Source organism: Homo sapiens, chromosome 2, assembly GCF_000001405.40.
Source record: "Homo sapiens chromosome 2, GRCh38.p14 Primary Assembly".
NCBI classification, from domain to species: domain Eukaryota; kingdom Metazoa; phylum Chordata; class Mammalia; order Primates; family Hominidae; genus Homo; species Homo sapiens.
Genome location: NC_000002.12, coordinates 20679772 through 20700441, shown reverse-complemented (window position 1 = coordinate 20700441; position 20670 = coordinate 20679772). Strand labels below are relative to the sequence as shown.

Sequence of the window (20670 nt, the reverse complement as noted above, 5' to 3'; positions counted from 1 at the left end):
CAGTACAATTATCTTAAAACGAGAAGTGTATATGTTCTTAAAATTTTTTTTTTAGAATATTGAAAATATTCACCCAGAGAGGACTTTTGAAAATGCCAGTGTTGTTTTGTCTCATGGCCATAGTGGTCATCATATTTCTGAAATAGCAGTTGGCTAGAGATTGAAATTTGGAAACCAGAAGGAAGCCCTCACTAGCCGAAGGGAGAGTGCTGGGGCCTCAGGAGGGCCCCCTCTCCAGGGCTTTCAGCTACTTCCAGTCACTGAGCGATGTGAAAATACAAGAAAAACAGTATTTTATTTTCCATTTAAACTGTAAGTGAATCTGTTTCAAAAATGCATTTAAGTTCTTCCAGGTTGGGAGTTCATAAAAACAGCTCAACTCTCAGTTAATAATAAGACTGGCAGATGCTCACTTCCAAAATTCACACTTGCTGAACAACTAGACCCATCATGTGTCAGAGTCTGCTTTACCACCTGTGGAAGCCAGCTGCTGTAAAATACTCATCATTTCTGGATTCAGCTTGTGTGTTGTGCTCAGAAAAAGGTCAAAGAAAGGTGCTAACTTATTCCTGTCCCAAGTGAAATCCATATGCAAGTGTAATCATTCCCAGATAGAGGGCTGTTCATGGTAATTATGTCAGGACTGTAAGTTTACTGAAATTTTATGGGGAAATACGGGGGTGTAATGGTAAATGGTAGACATTTCAAGGTTAGTATTAACACACAGTCACAGGAATAAACTTTTTCAACTCCAGGCAATAGTTTTGTTTTTGAGATAGCATTAAATATACTTCTAGAATATGGGGAAACAAAGCATTGTTTCATTTAATCATGCAAAACTACCTTGCAGTTAATTCATTATCCTTTCTACCAGCAAAATTCAAGCTCTCCACTAGAATAATACAATTACAGCTCCTAAGTGAAACTAGGTACAGAGAGACAGGAAGTTTATTGCAACTTTTTGTTTCTGTAATAAAAAGAGGAAACATGCTGTAATTTAATATTGGTAGAAGTTGAATCAACATATGTCCCAGTCTGCTTGAGAAAATAAGGAAACTTAAAAGTGCACATAGTTCTAGGAAGATAGTGGGCATTGCTTCCTGCCTTCCAAACACCCCCGATAACTGGTCAAACTAAAACCAATGCCCGGGATTAGAAATATTCCTATTTAGGTATCTTAATCGAGGATACTCTTTCCCATTTCCACCCAAACAAAGGCGTTCAGAAACTTCAGAACTATCCAGGACTGTCCAGTGTGAATAGTCATCAAGCCACACATTTTGTTGAAAAATCATTTCCTGTATCTCAGCTATTCAACTAAAAATAGTTCTGAAAAATATATCTTTGTGCCATCCAGCCAGAATGCCACAGGAAAGTTAGTCTAAAAATAAGCTTTCTACTGTATCATGCAGACAGCATTCTACTTCTTTCTCCTCCCCAAGAGAACTATCATACCATAATCTACAGGCTTTGGTTCTAAATCCAAATTTTCTACCACTGGATTTCCATTTGACACAAGAAGAGAGCTTTTTATATGCTTGAGGAAAATGGGCATTTTTAGCTCTAAAAGATCTGTTGAGCTGATTATCCTCCTTCTGAGGTCCAGTGACTTTATACACAGTATTGGACATAAAGTAATTTATTTTATTAAAATAATTTTTCTTTCCTGGAGCAAATATAACAGACTCATGGTTGTTTCCAAAGGAGTATACCATGGTTTATGGCATCATAGGTTATTTCTTTTTCCTTTTTTTGTTTTTTTGAGACAGAGTCTTGCACTGTCGCCCAGGCTAGAGTGCAGTGGCACGATCTCGGCTCACTGCAACCTCCACTTCCCGGGTTCAAGCGATTTTCTTGCCTCAGCCTCCCGAGTAGCTGGGATTACAGGTACCCGCCACCATACCCAGCTAATTTTTACTAGAGACAGGGTTTCACCATGTTGGTCAGGCTGGTCTCAAACTCCTGACCTTGTGATTTACCGGCCTCGGCCTCCCAAGGTGCTGGGATTACAGGCATGAGCCACTGCGCCCGGCCTATAGGTTATTTTGTCATTTGACTAAATCCTGCTTGTCTAGTGTCATCCCCAAGAGGCCTTCCCAGTCCTTGGTTTTGGTTAGATGTTACTCCCTATGTAAAGTTATATTGCATTTATCACACAGTATTTAAACAATCAACCTTCACCTTTCCCCACGTTGAGGTAAGGAGCTGTGTCTTCTTCGTCTTGATGTCCCCTAGGGCCTAGCATAATTCATACCTGGTAAACAGTCAGTAAATATGTGCTAGACAGATGGATAGATGGGGACGCCATTAACTAGAGTGTGGATTCTAAACCTTTTTTGTGCCATGCATCTCTTTCGCTCTCTCATAAAGCTTTTGGATTCTACTCACAATGATGTTAAGTGCATAAAATACACAAGATTACAAAAGAAAGAAGTTGTTGGATAATGAGATATAATAGCAGTCAGAATTTTTTTTTAATTTGTAATGATAAGTATAATGTTTTAGTTACCTTGAGCAAGTTAGTGTGATTTAAAAATACTTATCATTTTTATAGATGACAAAATATAGGCATTACTAATATTGTAGCTTGTTGCCTGTATTCCTAATTGAAAGAAATACTAAATTTTGGTTAGAGATTAACAAAAGTAAACATGTAAATTTTTCCAAAGTTTACATAACCCCTTCTCCAAACCTCTGGACCTGTACACCGCAAGCAAAGAAGCCCTGCGTTAGAGAAACTAGAAAAGGTTAGGTAGCATGATGTTGTGGCTTAGGCACTGGCCTGAGAACAAAAAGTCATGATATGCCACACTGAAGAGACTGTTTTGGGGAGCTATTGAAGGGTCTAAGCATGGGAGTAACAGGGTGACAGTCAAAACATTTGACAACCATGTGATATAGGGATTGACCAATCAGAATGTATGCCAGCTATGAACAGCCAGTTCAGGGGCACCAGTTCATATCAGTTAGCCCTAGGAATTTGGTGAGATTAACAAATGAGAGGGATTATCTTGAGGGCAAATGTGTGGTATAATACTAGAAAAGGATGAAATATGAGTTGGGGAGCCTGTTTACAAAGCTTTTATAAGAACTAAGGCATTGGGATTGAAGATGGAAAGATTTAGGAGATAGAATCAAAGGTACTGAGTACTAACAGGATATTGGGGAATGGAGATGGAGGAATCTAAGATTATTTCTTTGTATCTGGACTTGGTAATAAGACAGGGAATATGGGAAGAGAAGCAGCAGCAAGTTATGGGAGATGGCTGAACAAGTGGTTCATTTTGGTACTTGTATTTGAGATGCCAGTGGGACATGCAAGTGGATCCGTGTCTGGCAGGCCCTGGATGTATGGGTGTAAAGCTTAGAAAGATATTTGAGGCTGACTTTTGGTTGGGGAGTGATGAGGCTGTAGTTAAAGCCAAGAGCATGGGTAATAGCAGCCTAAAGAAGTATACAGAATAAGGAGAGAAGACTTCTAATGATTGATCATTAGGGAACCCAGCTTAAGGGTTGGGAGGAAGACGAGGAGCCACTGAATGAATAAGATGGGAGGGGAGGTAAGAAGGGTGGGAAGGAGAACCAGGATGAAATAAACCAAGGGAAGAGAATCAACTGTGCGTTTTCGCCACCCCAATCCCAGTTTGTCTGGAAACCTCTGGAGTATTCTCTGTTTCATGAGGCACCTGGTGTGTCAGAGGCAAATAAGAGGTCAGCACTCCCTTGTTCTGTCACTGTTCTAAGCCATAAGGGATGCATGTCTCATTCATTGAAAAGTGAACTCATGTTTGGTTTATAAACTTGAAGTTTTCATTTCAAACCCACTTAGGGGGGGAATTCTAAACTGCCATGACCACGTTTGGCCCAGGCTTACGGAAACAGCTGGTGTGTGCTACTGCCAGACTGAATCTGAGCATCACTATCAGTAAGTAGGAATCTGAAATTGCTCCAAAGAGAACACATGAAGTGCAGCTTTCAGATGAAGTTAGGCAGTGGTAGGGGGGCTGCCTGTAAGGTGGTGCTGCCCCTGCCCCCAGAGGGCCAGGCCAGGGCTACAGTGTGGCTTGGGAAAGGGGCAAGTGTCCTCAAGAACAGGAACTCCTCTGCTATTGCTCTCTCCCCATCCCTCTTAGCCTGCCTTAGCCCAAAGGTGTGTGTTGCCTTTGGGAGCAAACCTTGTGCAGTTGTTTGCAGATTGGGGCATGCAAATCCTTCTGACATGCACATGTCCTGCCTGCTGCAGCATAGGAAATGCTCCCTGGACCAGCTCACCAGGCCTGCCTTTCCGCCAAGCCTCGGTATTCTGAAACGGATTGTGTTAGTTCTGCCTGTTTAATTTAAAGCCTGTCCAGAATGTCATAATCATCCTGAAAATAGATAGGTTTGTTTTTATCTCAATATTGTGACCTTGAAAGCTTTATTTGGGCAATTGTGTGAGCACACTCTGGGGTTCTGCAGTGGAGCCTGGTGACTGAGGGGAGGCAAACGTGCTGGAGAGCTGGGCTCCCAGAGTCTCAGCCAAGCTTCAAACACCAAATCCACCCTTGTTCATGACCCTGCTTAAGTTACCGGACCTCACTGTGCCTCCTTTATTCATCAATAAAATGGTTAATAATAGTATGTAGCCTCATACAGCTATTCCAAAAATATGCTATAATTCATACCTTGTAATTCAGACCTTATAAGAGTATCTCCGCCGGGCACGGTGGCTCATGCCTGTAATCCCAGCACTTTGGGAGGCCGAGGCGGGTGGATCATGAGGTCAGGAGTTCGAGACCAGCCTGGCCAACATGGTGAAACCCCGTCTCCACTAAAAATACAAATATTAGCCGGGCATGGTGGTGCATGCCTATAGTCCCAGCTACTCGGGAGGCTGAGGCAGAATTGCTTGAACCCAGGAGGGGGAGGTTGCAGTGAGCCAAGATCATGCTACTGCACTCCAGCCTGGGCAACAGAGCGAGACTCCGTCTCAAAAAAAAAAAAAAAAGAAAGAGTGTCTGGAATGCACTAAGCATTCAATAAATGTTTTTATTACTATTACAAAGTTAGTTATAGCCTAGTTATGCTTCTAAGCACTTTAAAAAGACTATTTGCCTAACTGTTCCTCTTCTCACATCCCCTTTTCAGATACTTTCATTGTGTTAATGAAAGGTATTAGTGATGCTGAGTATGTGGCCAAGAGACCCCGGAATGCCCAATGCCATTCTAAACAACAGCCACCACTCCCCATAAGATGCCTCAAGGAGCTGTTGTATAGGAACCATAATGAGGGGAAAACACAATAGTACTTGATTTTTACCAAGGCTTGGGCCCATTATTCTAGTCCAGAGAAGTCTGATGAACTGGACTTAGCCCTTCTCTCAGTTAGTTGAGTAAAACCATTCCAGTACATTTGCCCCCTTCTTGGGGCACAGATCCAGGGAAGGACAGAAACACAGAAGGAGACTGGCGCTCAGGGCCTCTTACTTTGCCAGAGGGCCTCGCCAGAGGAAAGCAGAGGCCCTGGGTTAGCATCTCAGTGCAGTCTCACGTGAGAAAGAGACAAGCCAGTCACTTGATGGCCTCGTGGCTTGTATGTGGGAGGGAGAGGATCCTGGCCCTTTACATGTTAGCCACACGGAAAGGAGAGTGCTGCTCTGCACACCGCTGTATACACAGATGGTTGTTCCAGCTACTGGAGAGTGAGCCACACAGTGCCCCATAGGACCTACTCCTCCTTTGGCGCTCCCATTCCCACCGCTCCCCTCTGTGCCTGCAGAGAGAAGCAGGGTTCACGGGCGGGAAGCATTTGTGTTTTCACCTCCATCCTCAGCCACTTTTTAAAAATCTTTGGAGATTTCAGTTCTCATTTTCTCAAGAATGGTAATTGAGCCAGTTAGGAATAAACGGAAGAGAGGAAACAAGGTAACTGGAAAAACTGAAGTCCCTAAACCATCTCCCTTTCTTTAGCAATTCTGCAAGTCCCTAAAAACAGAGGCTCAGAAAGACTGCAGTGAAATGTTGACACTTTGCAGCTGCCTGTGTCCCCAACAGGGATAAGATTTTTTAAGTAACTGAAAGGAGATGCTTATATCACAGAATCGGTTTCCTTTAACATTGCAAGATTGGGGCTTACATGTCTTTGACTCTGAGGGGAGGGGAGAAGTGGAAGCCTGCTGCTGTCATCCAGACTGTCTGGACTCTCCCCAGAAATGGGCATGCATTGGAGGACCTAACAGTTTATATCCCGAGCCCGGGAAAGCTTCAAGGGGATGAAAACAGGAGATAAAGGCAGGGTAGGGGCCCTAGCTGGGAAGTAGGGGGCCTGTATGTGTAGGTACTAATTTGATCCCTTGGTATTCAACCGACTGCTTTATATCTGACCTTTTGCTTTTTTCACAAACAATGAAACAAGCAAAAAACCTGCTCTAGTGCAAATTATTTCAAAGAAGGAAAGAAAACCTGGAGAAAGCAGGAATGACATATTTTTCTTAGACCTCTGGAAGAAAGGCCAAGAAGATAGATCTCTCTCAGAATCTGTGTCACTCCTCTTTGGTCACTGTCTCTAGTGCTGGCTTCCTGGTTGCCCTGCCATGCAGCGTAAGCTGCCAGGGAGCTACAGCTGTTGATGAAGTGCTAACAGAAAGCCTTGCATTGCTCAGAAAAGCGGTGGGCATTACCTTCACTGCTGCAAGAACCCACAGGCTCACCCTGTGAGCTCACCAGGAAGAAAAGTAACTCCCAGAATGTCGGTGCCTTTCTTCATTTGGAAGATGCTCAACCAAGGATAGCCAAAGGGCACTATAGCTTAGGCTCCAGGTCTCCTTTATGAGGAAAAGTAGGTTTTATTATAAAAGTGGAAGTATAGAATCCACACCAAGAGCTGACTGTTAGTGGCGGCTTGAGGATAGGGATGTGCTTCACTGTTTATTTGGTTGGCGACTTATCTTCTACCCCACCTGTCTTTCTCTACAGTCATGTCTGGGGAATATGACATGTACATTTTTTAGATAATGAGTAAGTATATGGTAAAACAACTTTGTTTTATATTTTAAAAAATGTTTAATACTTATACATTTTCTGAGCCTATGTCAAAAACAACTTATCAGAATAGAATATATTTTCTCAAAGGCTAATGTAAGGTCATGTGGATTCTTTTTCCTTGAGCAGGGCACAGCTCCCACCCACCCAGCCCACCATTGCCCAGTCTGTGTCGAGGAGCTCCCTTTGTCCTCACCTGTAAAGCAGCAGCCTTTAAGAGTGCCCACCATGTGGAAAGCACTTGATACACTTTGTTTTCCAGTCCTCAGCACTAGCCCACAGGTAACTAGTTCTGTCTTACTTTACAGATGAGTAAACAGGCACAGGGAAGCTAAGTAACTGGTCCAGGCTCACAGCACCAATAAATGGCAGAACCAAGATTCCAGTCCAGGTGGATATGGCTCAGGGACCTGTACAGTCTTAACACTGTACTCACTGCACTACGCTCTTCTTGGCTGCATAAGGAGCTTGAGTAGTTTCACAAATTACTTTAGAATAATATAAATACAATTATTTTACCACACTGTGATATAAAGACATTATGAGAAGCCCTTTCACTCTCAGCATGACACCCCCAGAAATGCCGTTTACCACCCTGCTCAGGCCTGCACTATATCACAAAACAGGCACCCCACAAATTGACTACCCAAAGTAGTCTGTGCCAAAGGCTCATCAAGCTGGATTTCTCGTTGGAAACATTTCAAGTTGTATTGATGAGATATCGTTTGTACCAAACTTGACTTCGTGGTGAATTATGATTTAAAGAGCTTCTAAAATTCAGTTTATCCATAAGGTTAACACCAACAACAAATATATATATGCAAAAATATATAGAGATGCAAAACTTTCATTTTATTAGCCCTTTTATTCCTGTAATGCCTGTAGTCCTACTGTCCTATTGAATAGACAGATAATTCAGATAGAGATTTTTATGTGTGGCTTTTAAAATTGTTATTATTTTAAGATGTTGCTATGTCATTGAAAGTGAGTTTTGTTATTAGCTAAATCATAAGATGCTTCTAATATTTCTTTGTTCTTACTATAAATCCTCTATTAGTAATGCATAAAAGCATGCAACTCCAAATGTATACTAAAACAAAGCTTTGTTCATGTTCACTCCCTCAGGGCAGAATTTGGGTTTTCCTGCTTTGGGGTCCCGTAGGGCTTTGTCCATACCTCTGTCTGCCTGTTGTATTTAAGAGCCAGTTTATATAGGTCTGTTCTCTCGCCTAGTCTGTGAGCTGTTCCAGGGCAGAGACCATCTTACACACTTCTGAATGTCAGCCACTTAGCCTAGTACCAGATATGGGATGGAATCAGAGTCATTTTTGGTGGAACTCATTTTAATCTATCAGCTTCAGCAATTCACTGTCCAACAGTGCTGTTTGTAGACCCCCCAAAAAGTGGGGAAAAAAAAACACACAGAAGAAAAGACAGATGTGGGGACAAGCTGCAGCAACCTGCAGGGATATTTTAGGAGGGCCCTGTCCCCTTAGGTGCACATTAAACAGTTAAAGGGAAGTTCATCTATAAGCCCAGAGACCATAGTAACCATAAATCCACTTTCCTGCAGAAAACACAGGAGGAAAAGCCAAAGCATGGTTCTGGAGAATCAAAATCTAGACTGAAAAAAAGTTAAATTTTGTGCTTAATAGAAAACAATGGGTTACTTAACATGACAATTTGGAAACAGAAAAATTTCTATCTCAATAATGTATACTTTTTATCAACTCTCATGAGTTCCAAAACAAGTGCTAAGGATAAATAAACTACAGGAAATAATTTATTTTCTTCTAAACCTTTGAATGTAAACATCCTGCTGATTGCCTGCGATTCTTTGTTAACAATTCCAGTACTTTCATGGCAGTTATCACCCCCATGACACACAGTGCCTCAGAAGAGCTACATAGACTGTGAGAAGGCTTTCAGTAAAGGTAGTTGGGAAGGCTGGGTGCTGTGGCTCACGCCTGTAATTTCAGTACTTTGTGAGGGTGAGGTGGGTGGATCACTTGAGCCCAGGAGTTGGAGACCAGCCTGGGAAACATAGGGAGACTTCGTCTCTACAAAAAAAAATTAAAAATTAGCTGAGCATGGTGGCATGCGCTTGTGATTCCAGCTACCCTGGAAGCTGATGTGCGAAGGTCACTTGAGCTCGGGAGGTCAAGGCTCCAGTAAGCTGAGATCACACCACTGCACTCTAGACTGGGCCCAGAGTAAGACTGTCTCAGAATAAAAAAGTAAATAAAAATAAAGGTGGCTGTGTTAGCTCCTGTTGACAACTCTCACACTCTATTAGTTTTCATATCCAGTTTAAGACCTGCCAGTTGTCAGGTTTTATGTTTTTATAACGGGTCTATTTACTGGAATTGTAAGTAGTAGCAAAAGGTACAAGTTAGGAATGTTGTCTGTGGATTTGTAGCCCAGCTCTTCAATGCAAAATTGCTTGAAATAAGCAGGTTAATCTTGCTAAGCCTCAATTTCCTTTTCTGTAAAATATAGATACAATACTTTCCTTAGAGTATTGTTGTGAGGATACAACGAGATAATACATAGAAAGTGCTTACTTAGCACAGAGCCTGGCCATTGCTCTCGGCCCATTGGTTCATCATGGTGCATTGCGATTCATTTTTGCATACCGATAAATAAAGAGTATGCACTGTTAACCACTATGTTTTTGGTGTCCAGTTGTTTCTCTTTCTTTCTACTTCACCCCTCCTCCCCCATCCCCCGCCAGTGCCACCACACACTCCATACTTTCTCATTTTCCTGTTCAGGGCTGCAGGTGCGGAGTTCTCCGGTCAGATCTATTGCCTGTGATTTATAATTTATAGGGAAAAGGAAGTATCTCAAGCCAGTGTATGTAAAGGCATTAGATAACCATGTGTTTTACTTGTAAGCCAAGACTTTCATAGGAAGCCCTTTAGAGAATATATAGCCTGAAAAAGAACTTGTAAAAGAAAACAAAATTTTACAAAACGTGAGCCCACCCCCATCATCAGTTAGGCGTTTAACCAAATGGGGCCCACTTCAAACGTTTAAGGATTGTAGAGAATCGAGAAATAAAATCAGATAAGCATACGGGAGGTCTAGACTCCTCACTGTTCTGCTGTCTTGAACACTGACACCACTCTTTGTTGAGGTTCCTAGCACATGCCTTGGACAGTGTGTGCCCCATAATTACTTGGACATATTTGTCTCTTGATACCCTGAGGTGGGTGTCGGGTCCCTTAATCCATGTTGATCACCCCTGCTCAAATCACTGCCTTAACTGCATGTACGGGGATGGTGTTTGCTCAGTGCTGAGGGCTTATCAAGCTGGACTTCTCATTGGAAACATTTCAAGTTGTAATTGCATCACAGAAAAGTAAATGGTACGTTCTTCATGGAAACAGTCTTTGAAATGTCAGACAGAAAGCAACAGCGGTGCGTACAGTGACGCTTTTCTTGTTGAGGAAACTGTATTAGATGAGGTCTTTTCTGTCTGGCTTTCCTTTGAGCTGACTGCCATTATCATAGGACTTCACACTGTAGCTTGTACTGGAGTGAGGGTCCTAGAGTAGCTTTCTCAGGGTCCAGTGATCTTGAGGCGAGAGCATGCCCTGCAGCAGAGGAACAGACCTGACAGGTATGAACCCAAGTCTGACTTTCCAGATTTCTCAGCAGTGTTCCCTGCTCTGAGGAAGTGCTGAGTAACTGCATAGCGACTGTTCCCTATCCTATTCCCTGAATACAATCGAAAAGATTGCTGGTGGTAAATATAGGGAGTAGCTTAGAGAGAGCCTAATGTTATCAGCACTATTGGTAGATAATTAATACCTGCAAATAGTTTGTACTCTTGACAGTATTTCAAGGCAAAGCTATAGCAGGGTAGTTGCTGAGAGATCCGGGGAAACGTGTTTTTCTACTAGTGGAAAGAATAGTCTCCCACTGGTTGTGAGGTTGCAGCATTTTAGAGCTACAGAAAGAGCTGAGACCAGGAGGAAGAACTAGGCAACTGCTAGGCTCTCATATTCTCTAGGAAGCAAAAGAAGTTCTTACTCTGCTAAGAACCATGGCAAAATGAATTCTGGCTTTAGGGGCTTTGGAATGCCCAGAAATGGTTGGAGTGAGGAAAAGTAGGAGAATGCAAAGAATGAATTAAGTGATAAATCTGTAAGTTGCAGGTCCTCTGCAGCGTGCAAAACTGGAACCCCAGGTAACAACCAAGAAAACCTCCATGAAGCTGGAATACTATGCAGTCATAAAAAAGGATGAGTTCATGTCCTTTGCAGGGACATGGATGAAGCTGGAAACCATCATTCTCAGCAAACTGACACAGGAACAGAAAACCAGACATGGCATGTTCTCACTCATAAGTGGGAGTTGAACAATGAGAACACATGGACACAGGGAGGGGAACATCACACACCGGGGCCTGTTAGGGGATGGGGGGTAGGGGAGGGATAGCATTAGGAGAAATACCTAATGTAGATGACGGGTTGATGGGTACAGCAAACCACCGTGGCACGTGTATACCTATGTAACAAACCTGCACACTCTGCACATGTCCCAGAATTTGAAGTATAATTAAAAAAAAAAAAAAAAAAAAAAAAAGGAAACCTCCATGAAGCAATTCAGAGTAAGTCTGCCACTTGAGGTTTACTTGTTCATAATTTACTCTCTGGAGTACTATGTTAAATTTTTTCCTCTATAAAGTGTTTTTAACTAACCATCTAAATATTGGTTAAGGCATCATGTTATTGTAATGAAGGCCATTGTTTTCGTAAGATCAGTCTCATCTGTCCCATATTCAGGTCATGGATTTAATAATTGATACACTCAAACTATCCAGTGAGCAATAACGCCTGCTTCCCTGCACTCTCCTCCCCCAGCACTTGATCACCTCCAATCCTTCTTCTCGTTGTGGCCAGAGTGGTTTTCCTGACATAGGGACCTCAGCATGTCACTTCACTGTGCAGTCTTTTTTGCCTTGTGGACTTCGGGATAAAGCGCAACCTCCTTGGCATGCATAGAAGATGCTGTCCATGACCTCATCCCTCTCTGCCTCTCCAGTCTTATCTCCCACCACCCTATATTCCAGCCATGTGGAATTCCAGTTCCCCACACATGCCATGCTCTTTCAAGCTTTGGTTTGCTTGGTCTTCTCCCCACAGTGTGCTGCCCCAGCTTGAAGACTCAACTGAGGCATCAACTCTGGGGAATCTTTCCTGCCTACTACTTCTGACCAGCTGCACCTCACCTGAGCTCTCAAATTGTCTTGTATACATGGGGTCCCCTTCTCCCCTCCCCCCAAGACTGTCTTATCTCTATTTTCCAGGTTCCTAATACAAAGTAGGTGCTCCATTTGTATTTGATGAACAAAGGAATGAGTAAGCAATTCAGTGTCTGAATGAAGGAGCACATTTGGTATATTAGGGAAGCTGCAAGTGACTACAGCTGGCCAACTAGGGGCTGGAGCTAGGCATAGCTCTGTCTTTCAGTGATAACAGAGGTCAAAGGATCCTTAAGATTTAGTTCTTGGTTTTTGTAGAAATTGCCACTATCTGTTCTTCTGAATATAAGATGTTGCTTTGTTGCCTTTATTTTTAGAACTAACAGAACTAGAACATAGCAGTTTTTCAGTGAAACACAGCAGCCTAGAGCAATATACATATATATCACATGCAGGTTTAGGTAGATATCCATTCAGGGTCTTAGTAATGCCACAGAGGAGGCTCTGTCTCCATTCAGCTGCTTGCTGTCAATTGAAGTATGATTATTGCACTTCCCCACTGAATCAACATACAGGCTGCATAGAGCCTTTTCTTAGAAAGGTCATAAACTCTCTCAGGATTCTGATCACATTTCATCAGCTACATTGGAAAGCCTGAGTCTATCTGATCTGTGTTTGTATTCATTCAACAAATACATCCCATATGACTACCATGTGGCTATTTGGAAACAACTAAGTTTATTAACTGGTCACTAGTCATTCAGTGACTATGTCTCAATAACTGTCTTCGTCATCCTCACCGGCCTTCATTCCAGTGTCCATCCCAACCTTAGTACACAAAACTTTCCTGGTAAGTCGTTTCAGTGAATTATGAGTGATCTATCACACAAGAGTCTCCCAGCATGGGGATCTTCCCACCAAATTCTTCTAAGTGCACTCCTGTACATCGTGAAGCCTTGCTGCCTTGAGAGAGCCACACTCTGGAGAGAGCTTAGGGACTAGCTCCCAGGGTCAGGCGTAGGTGCTGTCCTCAGAGCACTGCCGGCTGCTGGTGTCATATCTGTGTCAGGAAGGGAACGTGTTTTCTAATAAAAGGTTTTTGTCTTGTCTTTCAGCTTACATTTTATTATGGTACTATAGATCCTTGGTGTCCAAAAGAGTACTATGAAGACATTAAGAAGGATTTTCCAGAAGGAGACATTCGACTCTGTGAGAAAAACATACCTCATGCTTTCATCACCCATTTTAACCAGGAAATGGCAGACATGATTGCTGACTCCCTAAAGGATGACTTGTCCAAAATGTAAATTGGCCTGAGGAACAAGCCCCCACTGCCAGTACATGGAGGCAGTCAGTGTACTAGACTTAGTAGGTAAATGTTTAATTTTGAAGACTGATATTAGAAATGAAGAAAGTGAGAACCTTTGTCTTACAAACCAACTCTCCGCTCGCCATGTTATAGGCTGAAGTAAACACAGTTGATGAATCATTCCATAGGTTTAACCATACATTTTCCAAGACTCAGGGAACACAGTGATCTACACAGAGTCTTGTGTTTGCACAAGATGCCCAGTGGCACCATATGGTTTATTTTGGTAGGCAGGATCTTTGCAGATGAAAAAAAAATCTACATGTACTTGATTTTAATTGAGTTACATTGTAGAATAGGCTCCTCTGGAGGAAATTATGAAATACCTACTAGAAAATGTAAAATAAATCAGTGAATGTTAAGAGTATAGTTAGATATGTGAAGTGTATGAGATTATGACAAGGATACACTCATGTTCCAGGAGCAGGAAGTGAACCTGGGTCTCCTGTAAGACAGAAGATGAAGATGAGCCCAGGCTAACTTAGCACAGATCTTGGCTGAGATCATCAATGTGACGTCTAATGTACCTGCACTAGACAGAGAATAAAGTTCACCAGACATTACTCTGGTCAGCTAACCAGATAAAGAATTGTTGAAGGACCCCAACTGTGCCTCCTGCCACAGGACAACCAGCAAGTTCTATGCTGAGCCTTAGCCTCCCAGGTTATAAGCTCCCTGCAGGCTCCTCCTCTCCAGAGCCAGGATGGAGAGGCACTGGGCTGTCCCAAAGCAGGCTTGGATGTGCCAACGTACAGTTGCTCCTTCTGTAATTCTTGCACTAAAACTCCATTAAAGACCATCAATGAGCCAAATAGTGTGCTAGCCATTGAGGATGGAGTTCTTAGCTACTTAATGATTCTTTTCTTCTGGAAATCTTCTAGTGAATAATTTTTAAAAGCTTCTTTTAAACTGCTCAGTAAAACATTGCCATACATTAACTCTCCATTTCTGCATTAACTTCATTTGCTGGAAAGAAATTATTTTGTTAATGAACCAAACCCAGCCATTAAGTTATGTGAATTCACCTTCTCTAGACACATTGAGGTATGGCAGAGAAGACACATATTCCCTGGCCTAGAGTGGGCTGACAATATTGCTGCCTCCCCTAAATTGACTCAATCTTGAGAACCACATACTGCAGTGACAGTTGATCATGGATCAGAAATATTCCTTTTTCTCCTAGAGGAAATCCCTCATGGCATTATCATTCCCTAAGGACAATGAGATGTCCCTCCGCTCAAATCCTAAAGCCCCCTGATGAAAGATTTGGCTCTGATTTGCTGCCAACTTATTGGTAAGTGCTGAATGAGTTACTGTGCTTTGGCATAGCTTCTACATCACAGCAAGTGACTTCTCAGAGGGGAAAAGCCAAGCTCCAGACAAGGAGTGCTGTTAGCCCAAGGGGAAGAGCTAATAGATACATAGGCCGTAAGCACAGGGCTGTACACAGATCCTTTATTGGCATCTGCATGAGAGGCCTAGAAATCGGATGTTAGAAGCTAGGAATCATGGCTCTGAGCGCCTTGCATACAGGAGATACTCACTGATACTAAATCAAGGCATGTAAACAATACTGGGTAAATCATACCTACCAGAATAAAGAGTAACATTCAGAGCTTTTCTTTTATCTGTTATTTTAAATGTTACTCCATATTTCAAAAGTCTGCACGTATGAAATTGTGTCTTATTTCTGGTTTTTAGAGCCTAAGAAAGATACTCATTCTTAATTCCTATTTATCATCTGAAAACCAAATGAATTTTTGAAATAAATGTTTTACCAGCATTTCTGACCTGGTCTGGCCTGATCTCTGTGTTGGGCAAGAGAGGGTACAATTTGAGCAGTTCTCCTGAGTTAGACTCGGCTCAAAGTCTCTCTTTTAAAGTGAAAAGCCACCTTTCTCATTGCTTTTTTCATAGGTGGAAGAATCAGATTTCAAGAGACTGAAGTTCATTCTGTTTCATTAGGGATTAGACTAAAATGGACAAACAGTGGAAGAAATCCATTTTCCAGAAGCAGCTCTGCCTGTATGTCCCAGTCAACCACATGGATGGTCTTTGTGAAAGTTTTAACTTCCTGCAGAGTTACCGAGTGCTCAGCGATTGAGCTTTGACCACACCCGTGTTTGTTCCTAGTCTGTTCCCAGCCATAAGCATCTCCACAAGCCCTCTGTGGCTTGTGTGGCCTGATGTCCATGGCCACCAAGGGCCTCTCACCATACGCTTCTCCACTCAACCTTTGGAGAGACACGGACCACCAAAGGCTTGATTTTTCTTCATCCTACATTATATTCAAAACAAACAGGCTGGGTGCCGTAGCTCACACCTGTGATCCCAGCACCTTGGGAGGATGAGCTGGGAAGATCGTTTGAGGCTAGGAGTTTGAGACCAGCCCGTGCAAAAAACGAGACCTCGTGTCTAAAATAATTTTTAAAAAAGAGCAAAAAAAAAAAGCAATTTCAGATTAAAGGAGACTGAAGAGACATGACAATTGGACACAACATCTGATTCTGAATTGGATGTTTTTGTTATAAAAGACATTGTTGAGACAATTTGCACAACTTGAATGAGGTCTGAAGATTAGCTGGGAGTAAGATGCCACTGTTAATTTTCTGATTTCAGTGGTTGTACTGGGAAGAAGTAAGAGAGTGTCCTTGTTTGTACTGGAGACACTGAGGTATCTGGGGGTGAGGGGCATCATGTCTGTTTACTGTCAGATGGTTGAGGGGAAAATAATGTTCTTTGTACTTGCAGATTTTTTGGAAGTTTGAGATGTTTTAGAATTTGTAAAAATAATTATTTTTAAAACCCCACCATGCTATCTCCTGCATCCGTGTCTCATTGCTTCTTTTCCAAAAAGGCTATTTCCTCTTGTACGCAGTAAATGAAGACCTGGGTTCAAATCCCAGATCTGTCATTTGTTAGGTTTGTGACATAAGACTTCACTTCACCTCCCTGAGTCCCCCAGCTCCTCATTTTTTTTTTAATGGAGATAAAATGAGGTCATGCATATAGCATTTAGTATGTTGCCTGGCATATGGTGGATTCTCTATAAAATGGTACCTAAAGGAGGATAGCAAACTTGTTTTTCCTTTTTTCCTTTCATTTCTCTTCTCTTTAGTGTAGCAGAGGACCCTGTGGTATCTCAGTCCCTGCACTGTTTCACCAGGCTTGTAACTTGATTCTAGCAGTCAGCATTTTGGCTCTTACGCAGGGATAACACTTGCTCACCTGGCTCAGCTTTCTGGCCTCAGCCCATTCAGGCCTCCCTGCACACAGCCCAGGATGTTCTAACAGTCGATTTAGAAAAGATGCGGGAAGCAAAGCATTTCTTAGATGGCTTGAGACATCTTCATCCCTGGCCTTCTCTTGCAGAAGAGAAGAGGCAAGGATATATTTGGGCTGCTCCTTCCCTTAGGGGTGGGCCTTAAGGAGAGGTTGGAGGCTGGGACTGAGTGTGCTCTGTGAACAAATACATCTGTGGGACCTTGAATGAAGCTCTTCTGCAGGAGTGCTGAGGACAGCAAAGCTCATATGAGTGTTCTTCTAATCACTTTTTAAGAGGATTGAGATTCCTGCCTGTGCCCCATACAGACATGGGTAAGTGATCACATTGGCCCAGGTGAGGAGTGTCTGTGGGACATGGGTCTGGCCTCTCCCACCAGGCTGAAGGCATCTCTAGAGCAAGACCGGCGTCACTGAGTGTGATGCTGGGTGAGCATCCTCAGAGCACGAACGAGGGTCAAAGAAAGCTCTGGGTGGTTCTATGGTTCTATAAAGGGTTCTATAAAGACAAAGCTCTTGGAAGAGAGAAGAGGATGAGGTTGCCCCTAGTCCTAGAAGGGCAGGTAGAACTTGGATAGGTGGTTTGGAATAGATGAGAGCTAATCCAGATAAGGAGTATGCTGCTCACCCCAGCACCTTCACAGTGTCTCACTTAGGCCTCCCAATCCTGTGATGTTCTGACTATGCCCATTATACAGATTACCACTGAGGTGCCTTGCTAAGGACCTCACAGTTAATAGATGACAGAGCTGGGGTTCTCCTGTAGTTGCACATGTCCTCCAAAGTTCGTGTGTTAGAGACTTAATCCCCAATGCAACTATTGGGAGGTGGGTCCTAACAGGAAGTGTCTGAGTCATGAGGGCCCTTCCTTCCTGAATGGATTAATGCCAGTGATAAAAAGCCACAATATTAGGCTGCAAGTTTGATCTCTTGTTCTCTCATGCTCTCTTGCCCTTCCACCTTTTGCCAGGGAGGATGTAGCACAAAGGTCCTCACCAGATGCCAGCCCCTCAATCTTGGACTTTCCAGCCTCCAGAACTGTAAGAAATAAATCTCTTCTTTATAAATTACCCAGTCTCTGATATTCCATTATAGCAACAGAAAATGAACTAAGCCAGATTCCAATTCAGGCCTCTACTCCAGAGCCACCACTTCATCCCCTTTTTCCACTGCATCATGCTGCCTCCTGGAGGCCACAGTGGGCAAGCCTAGCAAAAGTGGAGAGCCGGGAAAGAGAGTCACGCAAAGGGCAAATGAGGACCCGATTGACAGAAGAAGTGACGAGTAGATCGTTGGTAACAAATGAGTAGTTTTAAAAGAATGAAAGCTATAACAGAGACCAGTTTTCAGACGGCAAAAATATGCATCAGGCAGTGGATTGAGAGAAAGCAAGCCCACATGCTGGGAGTCAGTGCTGTGGCTGCAGCCACATGGCCGGCACCTCTGCAACTCTTCCATAGCCACCTGGTCTTATGCCACGCACGGGAGCTTCCTGTGGACTCCTCTGTACAGGAATCACTGCTCCAGCTTTGATTACGCCCATCCTCTACCCCACCCCATGAGACGTGGCCTAAAATACCAACTGCTCCTGCCTCCCAGAGCGGTCCTTCCCACCCTTCCATGCCCTGCCAGTCTTCATGACCCCTGGCCTGGCCTGTGTCTACTGAATGACTTATCATTGCTGCGGGATTGTGTCTCTGCAGTCTGCTCCTCCCTGCCTCCACCAACACCCCTTCTCTCAGGAGAGTCCTAGAAGATGACCTTCTGTCTTAGTCATCTCTGTGCTGTCAGGGCATATCAAATATGGCCTGCTACACAGGGTAGTCTATAAATTTTGTTATCTAAATTAATAAAAAGTTTCTACCATACCTAATAGGCAAGCTGTGAAAAAGTGCAATTCTCACATTGGGTCGGACTACCAGGAAATCACATCTCTGGGCTTCTTCATCTTAAAACTGACACATCAGTGGGAGTGCAGACATGGACACTTGCTCTTTTATCCCTTAAGTGTTTCCCCAGCAGAGCTGTGCACAACTGGGTCAGATAGATTCAAGGATGTCTGAATCTTTGCAGACTGTTTGTGTCTGGCACTGGGGGACTGCAAGGAAGCAAGGCCACTATCCCTTGTGTCCCATTCATCTTGTCTGATATGGCTGCAACTGTTACTTCCATTCTTCTACAATTAGAAAACCTCTGGAGTTTGGGTATTAGCAACTACCAAATATGTAGTTTATTATTTGCTGAGCACTAACCCCGCGCAGCACCCCGAGTGGGAATTACAGCAACAATACACATGACTGTGCTCTGGGATAATCGAGCATTTTCATTTTGTGTTGCATTCCTCAAACATTCTGGCAAAGGGGCCTGTGCTGACCTCCCCACATTGGGACAGATTTCCTTGCTGGGTAAGTCTATGGGAAAATTCCTCTTCCCTGGGATGAGAATGTGACCCTGTGACTGGGCGTCCATTACAGCCAGGGGGTGCGGTGCACCTGCAGGGTCTCCCTCCCTCACAGAGGGACTAGAATCCCGCCTCTGCAAATCCATCCAGCTCAGGCTCTGCAGAACATCTGGGCTTCCTCCTACTGGCCACTGTGAAGGGCCACGCACCTGCATGTGATTAGGACTCGGCAGACACCCACAGCCTATAGGGCTGCATGCTGGTGGCACCTCACAGTGGACAAGTTTCTCCCCAGATCATTGTCCTTTCTGAGCAGATGAGTCACAGGGTTCCTAGGACACAAGAGCACATGCATCCATGACCACGTTGGGCACCACCCTCAATGGAACAGCAGTTGGAGGCATCTTTGCCTTGGCCTGCTTGGAAATGAGCAGGCATCAGAGGCAGATCCAGGACCTGACAGGACCAGGGAAGGAGTGGAGAAGTCAATCTTAGCCGCCTTTACCATTAGTCATGGACGGGCCTTTTAGATTTGCTCTTATCAGTGTCTGGGAAATTGGATAAAATTTTTAATGCCACTCCCGACTTTCCTTTCTCCCTGTAACTACTCCTCTACTGAATGTGTACTCTAACCACAGAATGCTGTGGTAGGTCAAATGGAGACTGAAAAATAAGAAAATGAAAAATGGACCAAAGATGCTTATAAACAAAGCATGACAAGACATTCCAGTTTTCGATGGCAGGGTCATAGAACTTACACATTGATTGTACCTGCCAAATGAGTTAGTTGGAAAGGGAACACAATTTCTCTTCCAAAGAAGAGACTCCTTTATTTATAATAGGAAATCGAGTGGTGAAAAGAAGGCAGGCTTTCTTGATCTTTCACCAGAGAGAGAAAGTTACATAACCACAGGGACCTGCATTAACAAACTGGGATATTGAATTCACCATGAACATGGGCTGCCATCACTGACGAAAATGTGGGTCACTCCAGCAGGCTTCATATCGCAAAAGAGGTAATCCTGGTAACAGTCACTAATAAGGCCAAGTCCCTGTCAACTTCCTACAATTCCTGCTCTGTCATTAGTCCTCTCCCAGAAATATTTAAGGAACACATGAAATAGATTTCTCCATCTGGGCAAAAGTCAGCTGTGAGAGCTGGGATAGCAACAGAACGCTGTGTGGTTGATCCTGTCCTGCTGCATCCTTCGTGGTGTCACCAAGCACAGGCTTTTGTACTTGTCTCGAAGAGTACTGGGCAAAAAAAAAGGCCTGTCGAATTTGCTGTAGGACCTTATTGGGTTCTGTGACGTATGTAATTGGCCTTGCAGAGGAAGCGGCTTCCATGGGACTTTATGCCTTGGGATTTCAGAGACTTACCTGTGC

The 20670-nt window shown here is 43.4% G+C and overlaps 1 protein-coding gene across 25 annotated transcripts in view, besides 1 other annotated feature; it reads left to right on the top strand.

The window, feature by feature from the left end:
• Positions 1-17953, top strand: part of LDAH (lipid droplet associated hydrolase) — a 140613-nt gene extending 122660 nt beyond the window's left edge. For 9 of the 25 annotated variants that reach the window (NR_104233.2, NM_001282722.2, NM_001282721.2 and 6 more), the window contains one exon: positions 13348-16411. Coding sequence is in view for 6 of the 25 variants with exons in the window: in NM_001282722.2 (NP_001269651.1) it covers positions 13348-13539 (192 nt within the window). In the remaining 19 variants the exon portion in view is untranslated. Of the gene's footprint in view, positions 1-13347; positions 16412-16973 lie in introns of those variants that run through there. The other 16 variants (XR_001738878.3, XR_007079567.1, XR_001738877.3 and 13 more) reach the window with 6 other exon arrangements.
• Positions 6442-6626: a silencer, noted in NCBI's record as "fragment chr2:20893576-20893760 (GRCh37/hg19 assembly coordinates)". NCBI's record gives its function as "represses an EF-1alpha promoter that drives an FKBP-Casp9 reporter gene in an ReSE screen in K562 erythroleukemia cells {active_cell/tissue: K562}" and the evidence as "EXISTENCE:reporter gene assay evidence [ECO:0000049][PMID:32094911]".
• Positions 17954-20670: the final 2717 nt, after the last annotated feature.